Source organism: Homo sapiens, chromosome 2, assembly GCF_000001405.40.
Source record: "Homo sapiens chromosome 2, GRCh38.p14 Primary Assembly".
Lineage (NCBI taxonomy): Eukaryota > Metazoa > Chordata > Mammalia > Primates > Hominidae > Homo > Homo sapiens.
Genome location: NC_000002.12, coordinates 16,468,249 through 16,478,727, shown reverse-complemented (window position 1 = coordinate 16,478,727; position 10,479 = coordinate 16,468,249). Strand labels below are relative to the sequence as shown.

General features: G+C 41.3%; 1 long non-coding RNA gene across 1 annotated transcript; it reads left to right on the top strand.

The window, feature by feature from the left end:
- Positions 1–378: 378 nt before the first annotated feature.
- Positions 379–10,065, top strand: LOC105373444 (uncharacterized). Its single transcript, XR_939753.3, has 3 exons — positions 379–459; positions 8,753–8,835; positions 9,979–10,065. It is a non-coding gene; the product is annotated as an uncharacterized LOC105373444 (long non-coding RNA).
- The last annotated feature ends 414 nt before the right edge of the window (positions 10,066–10,479 follow it).

The following is a 10,479-nucleotide window of genomic DNA, read 5'->3' as shown; positions in this document are numbered from 1 at the left end:
GCTAGGATTAGTATTTCATTCTGTAGTCAATGGATACTCACTGGAAAGTGTTTGAGGAAGTGAGGGGTGTGAGCTTTGTTTTAAGATAAGATGTTTATGTCTGTGTCATAACAAGCAGAAGGGATTGGAGGAAACAGGCTGAAGACAGATGCTGCAGTGGGAGTGTGGAGAGATGTGAAGGCAACAGCAGGAATAATGATAAGATTGGTTGTGAGGTACTGTATAGATGAGATGGATAGGACCAGAGATGCACCTGAGAGCAGGAGGAAAAGGAGAGGAAAATGGTCATGTGGGTGCCAGATAGTACTGCATAACCTCTCCTTTTGAATTTGAGGTACCTGCGTCTGCCAAGAGTAGCTTTTCCATTTCACAACCATCACACTTTCCTGTGAGTTCAGAGTTAATGAAGACATGTGGATGCAAAAGGAAAACTTGCAGAGCAAAGTCATTGCCAAACAGGTGAGTTTCCTCAGGAAATTATGAAGGGGTCTCTTTCAATTTCCACTCCCACCCATCTTTCACTGGGTTCCTGTCACAGGCTGCAAGAGCTTTGGCAGAGGGATCTCACAAAGCTTTGATCCTTTTATGAGGCAGCTCGTCGGGACTTGCGCTTGCGGCACCCGCCTCCTCCTTTCCCGGGCCCCTAGCTCCCATTCCCAGCTACTCTAACTACGCTTTAGGAATCCATCACATACCATGTATGTGTAACTTCTGGCCCAGGTGGTCCTCCATGGTACAAACAAACCTGGAATCTCCCTGAATAAAGTCAACCTTCAGCTTTGCAAATATACAGGGGATATTTTTGCTTGCCTATCTGGAATCTCCTTCTCCCTTCATTCCTGACTTTTATTTTGATATCCACCCATTCCCCATCCACTTCTGTGCTTTAAGATAGCTGACCTTACTCAGTTCCCAGAGTGGGTGTGATTGGTTCAAGTAATTCCCCTGATGGACTCAGAAATTGTAAGGCTACATCTTGATCCAGTGAGACCTGAAACATACTTCCTGATGTTTCTGCAAAAGAAATTTCTTCACTCTAGAAAGCCACCAGAAGAGATGCTGTTTCTCTCTCTCTGGACAAGGTTTTGATCAGAGTCCCAGAACTGTTGCAGCCATCTTGTAAAGGTTGAAACTATTGCACAGGGAAGGACTGAGAGAAAAATGTAAAATCCCCTTCAAAATTTAAGTCAGTTTGAATTGACCTGAAGATGTTTTTTAATAAGTACCATCTTGAAAAATCAAACACATACTTTTGTTGTCAAAATAATTGGGGGTGGGGGATGTTACTGACATTTAATATATGGAGACCAAGAAGCGAGATGGAATTTGTGGGATAAGTCTGCATTACAAAGAATCTTCCCTCATATTGCACAATTTTTTAATGACCCATTAGACTTCCAGGTAGGTGAAAAACTCCTTTATTATCTGAGCCTAGAGCCTAACTCCATTTTGCACATACATTAAGTGTTTTTACTTTGTATCCCTTTTGATACACACTGAATTTTCCACTGTTTAAATCAGGGGAAGATTGTGCTTTTGTTTGAAACACTTTCAAGATTTGTTCACCTTTTCAGATGATCAGGTTACCAATGATAATGCCACTTATGAAGCTTGAGTTGCCAAGAAAATATGTTTCTATTAGTCTGCTTTTATTACCACATGGTGATTCTATCTCACAGTCGAAACTCTTGATGACTCAATCATGTGTTCTAGTGCAATTATGAGACAACATTTATATATTAATACATGCACGTCTTTCTATTATATATTACTGTCCTTTCATTTCTCCACTATACTACTTTTAGGGCATGATATATTTTTAATTATATGATGGATGGGTTAAATTATCTATGAGCTCAATCACAGAGTAGTAAAGGAGATATTACAAACTAATTAAAATTAAAAGGTGGTGTGTGTCTGCTGGGAGGAGGATGAGAGGACAGTCATCCTCCTAAAGAATCCTAACTGATATAAAATTAGGCCTCAAGAAGTGGGAATTTTTAAAAGAAAAGGCCCTCTAATGGAGAGTTGGCTCAATGGTTAGAGTGGGTGAAAAAGAATGCTAAGACTCCTCTAGGTCAGGCTGGGATGTTAGAGGTGCCCGGTTTTGCATCTGAAAACCTTTAGTGGTATCAACCTTATACTTACTTTGGAATGATGATCATGTACCTGTAAAGCAGTAGACTTAGAGGAGGTGGTTTAAAAATTCAGAGAAGTATTGGCTGTCTTGCAGCATTCTGTCAGGCCTTAGAGGAAAGAGAAAAGTCTTCAACCAATTAGTGTGTAAGCAGAGTGAGAAGGGAGGCCTTTACTAAGGGAGGCTTTCTCCCACTGTGGATTATAAAGCCTGGAAATACGTAGTCAGCAGAATTGGAATAAGCAAACACTATCCCAGCTAAAGTATGCAGAGAAAGAAGCAGAAAAATGAGATATATGAAGATAAAATGTGGGTCCAAACAAGCATGATCCCCTGAACTTCCCCTATTGGACATTCTCAGTCTGACAGGGAGACACCCATACTCATGGTGAAGAGGTAGCTGTGATGCAAGCAGTGACAAGGACCCAGTATCAGGACCTTCCCAGCCCCATGTGAAGCTATTGTCTCACCTTGCCCAGATGCACATAACTTGTGGAGTCCAGATCTAGGAGAAGCAGGGCTAAAAAGAGCTAGATGTTGCTTTTTTGTCTAAGGCCTCCCTACCTGGCCCAATTTTCTACCTGATCTTTTATCTAAGGCCTTCCTTTCTGGTCCAAATTTCTCTTGTTCCTGGGAACTTTAAACTCCTAACAGTTTTTATATTTGTCCTCTTCAAATCCCTTGTTGAAATGTATCTGCAATGTTGCAGGCAGGGCTTAATGGGAAACATTTGAGTCATGGGGGCGGCTCCCTCATGAATGACTTGTGCTGAGGTAACGCATTCTCACTCTATTAGTTCAGGTGAAAGCTGGTTGCTTCAAGAGTGGTAACTTCTCCCCCTCTCTTGCTCCCTCTCTGTCTCCATGTGACACACCAGCTCCCGTTGCCTTCTGCTGTGAGTAAAAGCTTCCCGAAGTCCTCACTAAGAGCCAAGCAAGATGCCAGTGCCATGCTCCCTGTACAGGCTGCAGAACCACAAGTCAAATAAATCTCTTTTCCTTACAGATTGCCCAGTCTCAGGTATTCCTTTATAGCAATGCAAAATGGAATAATAGAACTCATCTAGGGAAGACTTACAGGGAAATTGATTGGCATGTGGCCACAATGGGACCCTCATTAGAGTAGGGTAGCCATCTCACTAGTCATCTGAAAGAACCCACACCTCTGGGATAGTAGCTCTTTCACTTTATCAAGCCCAGAGATGTGTAAACACTATCCATCAGCAATTTAATCGCTGGCATGTACATTAAAGAAATGCAAGTCCGTGTGTGTAACAGAACATGTGCACAAAATGCTTATAGACACATTGCTTGTGAAAGCGAAAATGCAAAGTACTCCTTGCCTGGGATTGAGAGGACCCTGAAAACAGGCAGAGGAAGGAATCCCTAGTAAAGTTACCCGTGACATCGTGCTTCTATTTCAAGCGTAAAATTATTTTCTACAGCCTTCATTGACAGATTTTCCTGATGGTGACCATGATCGTGATTCTTAGAATTTATAAAACACACAGGTGACCAGTCTCTAATTTGAGCTTCACTACAATCCTACAGGAGAGAAGCAGGATTGGAGCAGTTTTTCCCTAATTATAGAGGGAGAAAGCATGGCACAGATAGGAAAAGCCCAAGAATTTATGGCCAGCAAGTGAGAAAGCCTGAACACCAACTGTTTCTTCTTAATTCAAGGCTATGCATGGCTTTTCTCCTCAATCTTGTGCCTCTCACCTGAAGCTTAAAATTTCAGGTATATTACATTCATGTCTATTACATCTATATAACCATATATTTTTATTTGGGATTAAAATGTTTTTACTATATATTAACACTTTCTCATCTTCTTAGAAGAGACTTTTACTTCACATAAACTAATCTTTTCCTGATGCCTCTTGTTTACCCTGTGGATATATATTATCATGGTGTGAGGAACCTTAGATCTAGACTTGCTCTGGACTTTCTTTTGATTTTGTCTTTAAAGTCAGGCTATCCATTCTCCAGCGGGAATGGGGTCATCTCCACACTGCATTGTCCTACATTGCTTTGAACTGAACTTGTAAATAGTTGAACTTGTAAATAATTGCATGCTGATTAAAAATTATTAAGGTCATCACCTCACATTTTGTACACTCACGTTTTTAGACTCTTTAGAGTGTGAAGACATGTTCTTGCAGCATTAAGTACTTCAGCTAAGCCTTGGCTTTAACTCTTAACAGGTAAACAGGAGGTTTGAGCCCTTTTCCTCTGTGAGGATGTTCCATGAAGGAAAATGAATTCACACTCTTTCATGCCCCCATCTCTCAGACTTATCCCCCTCCTGACCATTCATACAGGATTAGGCTCACAGTAAATGTCCCAGTGAGCTGCAGAGGAGCATGGACAAGCATGGGAGTTGGCTGAATTACCTGCAGCCTTGTGTAAGTCTCTTCACTGCTTTTAGTGTCAGTTTCCCCCTCCATCATATGGTGATGTTATCACATACTTTCAACATTGGGAGGATGGTGTGTGATTTAGGTAAGACACAAAGCTGAGTGCCTAGCAGAGAGCTGGCACTCCCTACGTGATGGTTTTCATTTTCTCTCTCCCTCCTTCCACCCCTTACAAACACACACTTGTGTTCACATCCCACACCATTTCCCCATTTCCCTTGTATACACACACCATACACACTATTCCCATGGCTTTTGTATCTTGATGACATTGTCTTCAAAAGCAATATCACAAAACTCTGCCCTCTCTTGTCACAGCAAACAGAATGAGGTCAGATGTGGTGGTTCCTCAAGGCTGGCTCAGAGCATCAGTGAGGACAATCTCTCTGGATCCAACCAATCTTATGCAGCTGAAATGAAGGCAGCCAACCACTGAGCACATGCGGTTTGTGGTCCAGCCAGAGCAGTGCTTTCATTTACAAAAAATAAATTGAATTAATGAGTGTGTCACTTGGTAATCTTAGATTCTTCAACAAATGAGTCAATAAGAATAATAAAATATTTCACAGTGAAATTGAAATAATAACCATTTCTGTCAATTTATTTTTTTATTTTATTTTGTTTTTTTGAGATGGAGTCTCGCTTTGTCACCCAGGCTGGAGTGCAGTGGTGCGATCTCGGTTCACTGCAACCTCCGCCTTCTGAGTTCAAGCGATTCTCTTGCCTCAGCCTCCCAAGTAGCTGGGATTACAGGCATGCACCACCATGCCCAGCTAATTTTGTATTTTTTTAGAGATGGGGTTTCACCATGTTGGCCAGGGTGGTCTCAAACTCCTGACCTCAGGTGATCCACCCACATCAGCCTCCTAAAGTGCTGGTATTACAGGTGTGAGCCACCGTGCTTGGCCTGTCGATTTATTTTTATCACATGGTTTAATAGGTTATTTTGAGCCTAGTAAAGGAGATAGAAATAAGACACTCAAAGAAATTCCAGAGTCTTTGTCTCTAATTAATTTTTTGGCTATGAATTCTACTGCAGAATGCTTTGTGGCCTTGTCTTTTTATAAATGAACTGAGGAAGCAATGGCTGAATAACTTGAAATTCATACTACTGGCCCCATTGAAGGATTGATCTGCCTTTACTTTATGCAATGAAAGAGTCTGGAGTAAGATTCTGTGTTAGTAAGGATTCTCCAGAGAAACACAACTAACAGGGTATCTATTTATCTATCTATTCACACACACACACACACACACACACACACATATCTGCACACACATATATCTATATACGTATATGGAGATTTATTATAAGAATTGGCTCATACAGTTATGGAGAACAAGAAGTCCCACAATCTGCTGTCTCCAAGCCGGAGAAACAGGAAAGCTGGTGGTGTAATTCAGTTTGAGTCTGCAGACCTGAGAATCAGGGGCTGATGCTGTAAGTCCCAGTCTGAGTCCATAAGCACTAGAACCAGGGGCATTGATGCCTGAAGGCAGGAGAAGATGGGTGTCTCAGCTCAAGCACAGACCAAATTTGCCCCTCCTCTGCTTTTTTTCTTCTATTCATGCCCTCAATTAATTGGGTGAGGGAAAGTTTCTTTTCTCAGTCTAGTGATTCCAATGCTAATCTTTTCTGGAAACCCTCAAAGACACACCCAGCTTCTTGGCCATTCCTAGCCCAGTCAGGTTAACACACAAAATCAGCTCTCACAGATTCCATTGCCGATGTGAGACATAGTCGAATAAAGGAAAGAGTACCTGGCAGTGTCAGGAACAGGCAGATTTGGGACATGTCCCCTGTTCTATTACTGGCTGTGTGACATTGGTCAGAATCCTAATCTGAGATTCCATAGAATGTAGCTAGCAACTTCTACCTTGTGGATTCACATGAGTATATAAAAAACAATCAAAATAAAGCACCTAGTACAATATCCTACCATCCAATAGGCACTCAAAGTATTAGTTATGTTATTATCATTACAATTATGGTTTTTTCATCATTATCATTTTCATGTGAAAATTTTCCCTAGAGTCCAGGTCCTGGCTCTGAAGATGTCTCTTCTAGCATCCTCCTGCTCTGATCCTCTGGACTTCCCCAACACCTATAGGCCAGGTGACGCTCACGTCACCTTGCTGGTTTTACGTCATTTCTGTGTTGTTTCCCACTGCACAGCATGTTAGTGCCATCTCCTTTACTATAAGCTGTACCACTTAAGAAAAGGGAAACTTCATCTTCTGTTTCTCCTACAGTTCCTGGGAGTATGTCAGCACCTGTGCCCAGCCAAGATTTCAAGTACACTGTCACGGGCAGAGCTTGCCCTTGAAACCAGGAGACCACGCTCGGAGCGCAGTGTTCCTTCTTCTGCGTCACACTACATTTAGGGAAGAACATCACCAACAGGGATGTCTAGAAAACTCCAGGACTTGGGGATGTTAAACATGGGCCTTAGGGATCCAGGAACAAGAGCTTCTTTAGAAATCAGCCTTAGCTACAGATAAATTTCCCTTCTTCCCCTAAACGCATTTCCACCCACACCCTATGCACATGAAACAATACACTGGGTCTTTGCACAGTAATGCCATAAGGTATATTATGCTGGAACACCTACATTAGATGGAAAGTCCAGTGGGGAGAGGACATGGTATAGGAAGGGAAGGTTCAGGAGAAGTAAGAGAGAAAAGAATAAGAGGCCCAGATAAGCCAAGGGAAAATGATGGGCCGGTTTCATCCCAAGCCCTTGGAATGGTTCCAGCCCACCAAACAACTCATCATAGGGAACACAGAGAGGCCCAGCCATGCTCAACTGTACCTTGTCTCTGATACTCACCCAGAGAACCTCCTACACATCTTTCCTCCTACTGTTTCTTTTTCTCAGTCTCACTGTCTCTCCCACACCTTGACTGTTATCTGATTCCTCACATAAGCCTCAGGCCCTCCTTGTTTTGACAACCCATTTGGACCTTTTCTCCAGTTTAATTATTCACAGATCTCAACTTGCACATCCCCAAACACCTCCCTTCTACAACTGTGGTAGGAGATGCTCTCACTACTTGCCTGAACCCCACAGGACCTTGGTGTTTGCTCAGCCTCCCCTGGTAACGGTGGGGAGTTGTCAGGGGAGGTGGAAAAAAAGAGATGGGAGGAGGGAACAGTCTACTTAATTCAGGTGTTATCTGCAGTCAGAAGCTTTAATAATCTCTGTATGGATTAGAGCTGGCATTGATTTATAGTTGTATGTTAAAATGTTCAAACTCATGACTCTTTTTTTAATTATTCAAGACTTTATGTTTTTAAAAGCAGGTTTAGCTTCCCAGTAGAACTAAGAGGAAGGTACAGAGATTTCCTCCACACTCTCCCATCCCTACACATGCACAGCCTCCCCCATTATCAACATCCCCCACCAGAGTGGTACATTTATTACAATCAATGAGCCTACATTGACACATCCAAATCACCCAAGTCCCTAGTTGACTGCAGGGTTCACTCTTGGTGTTGCACATTCTACAGGTTTGGACATATGTAAAATGACACACATCTATCATGATGGCATTGTACAGAGTATTTGCACTGCCCTAAAATTCCCCCTTGCTTTGCCTATTCACCCCAACTTTCCCACTCCCAACCCCTTGCAACCACTGATCCTTTTGTCATATCCATAGTTTTCACATTTCCAGAATGTCATACAATATATACCCTTTTCAGATGTGCTTCTTTCACTTAGTAATATGCCTTTAAGTTTCCTCCATGTCTTTTCATGGCTTGCAAACTCATTTCTTTTTAGTGTTGAATAATAATCCGTTGTCTGGATGTAGTACAGTTTACTTATTCATTCACCTACTGAAGGACATCTTGGTTGCTTCCAAGTTTTGGCAACGATAAGCAGAACTGTTATAAACATCCTTGTACAGGTTTTTGTGTTGATATACGTTTTCAACTCCTTTGGGTAAATACCAAGGACAATGATTGCTGGATCTTATGGTAAGAATATGTTTAGTTTTATAAGAAACAGCCAAACTGTTGTCCAGAGTGGCTATACCATTTTGCATCTCCACCAACAATGAATGAGAGTTTCTATTGCTCCACATCCTCACCAGCCTTTTTGATGACTTTTAATTCTTAAGAATTTATTTAGTCCTTTCAAGCAAGAAAACATGGTAGAAATTATGTCTTACCATTCTCTCTCTTTGCCCAGGTTGTGTAGCCTGACCTGTGAAACATTGTGAAGAAGGAAGATCGCAGTTTCAGGGAAGATGACTCGATAACACCACAGAACAGGTTTGTAAATTCCACAATAATTTGTGAAAAGGCCAGGTGATTACAGATGCATTTTGCCAAGACATGCAAAAATTAAAAAAGGGAAAGAGTGCAATTCAACTTAGTAATGCAGGTACTGTTTACAAAACAGTAAAAACAGTGTCAAATGAAGTAGAGTCTGGAATCATACAGGATTTAGTCTTCAGATTGGCTTTTCAGATCCACAAAACTGAAAATTCATAGCAGCAGATCATGAACCTGCAGCATTTCTTCCTGAGCAACAGAAAGAGAATTGCCTCCAAGATTCAACTTCTAACTTGAAAAAACTGGCTTGTTTTGACAGTGATTTTTCCTAGAAGTTTTATTTACTGCATTTAAAAATCTATCTTTAGTGCACTTTCAATTTTTCCCTAACACCCTTTCAGTGAGACCTTTATTCTTCTTGCCAACTAAGGATTTTCAGCCAGTGTTTTTTGCAGAAGTGCCCAGAGTTGGTGAGAGGTTATTGTATGTATTTCCTTCTAAGCACTGACCCTGCATTTTAACTGAGCCTGGATTAGGCCAAATAAGCCAACTGGTTAGGTTGGCTGAGCCATAGCGCAAACAGTAGGCCCTATGTATACACAAGTACCACATCCACAGATTCCACTAACCTGGAAAACAATCGATCTTAAGCATCCATGGATTGTGGTATCTGAGAAGGTCCTGAAACCAATCCCCTATGGAGACAAAGGGCCTACTGTATACTACATAAGCAATTCAGATTTTGTTTTCTGAAAATAATACTTATTGAGATAAAGCACCATAATTAATGAATATAACGTGAATATTTCTATCTTTCATTTCCCCACCTGATTTTACAAGAGGATTTCAAATGATAGTTATTGTTTCACATGTGTAATTATGAGATATTACAACTTAGAGCAAGATTTTATATTTCCGTATGGCAAGAAAAATTTGTTCATCTATTCGTTTGTTCAACAAATAATTAAAGAATATGTTGTTGGGCTAGGCACTGGTGATACTGCAGTGAAAGTAACACAATCCAACCCCTCAAAGAGCTGAAAGAATATGAAAATGAAAGATATATGAAAATGTAGATCAAGGATTCCAAGCTTGGCTATTGTAACCAGAAATGACCTATTCAGTCTCTTGTTTCTCTAGACAGATTGCCCATCATGATTACATCCAATGGTGTCTTGGCCAAATAAAAGATGGTGGTAAATGGATAAGAGTCAAGGTGATTTCAAGCAGAAAGGGCCCTTTGAAATCACCTCCCAGAAACACTGAGGTGGAGAGATAGGGAGTGACTCGTCCAAGGTCATGCAGCTTGCAGGTCAGAAGCTGGAGATGGTTGGGAATCTGCTGGATGTGTGTGCTGGTGAAGGGCAAGGCTTGAGAGGAAGACTTTGCCTTCCTCTGGATTCAGCACTTGCAAATCTGGAAGACAAATGTGACATCAATGTCATCACCATTCATGCACTCTCAGCTTTCTTCCCCTGAGACTTTTCTGAAGAACATTCTTTCCTTCCAAGAATGACTTTCCATTGCTGATTTCAAAAAACCATAGATTTTGTTTCCACCTCTGTTGTTTTGTTGTTCTTGTTTGCTCTCTGATTTGTGTTGTGATTATCTTGTGTTTGCTTCTCTATTTAATATCAATAG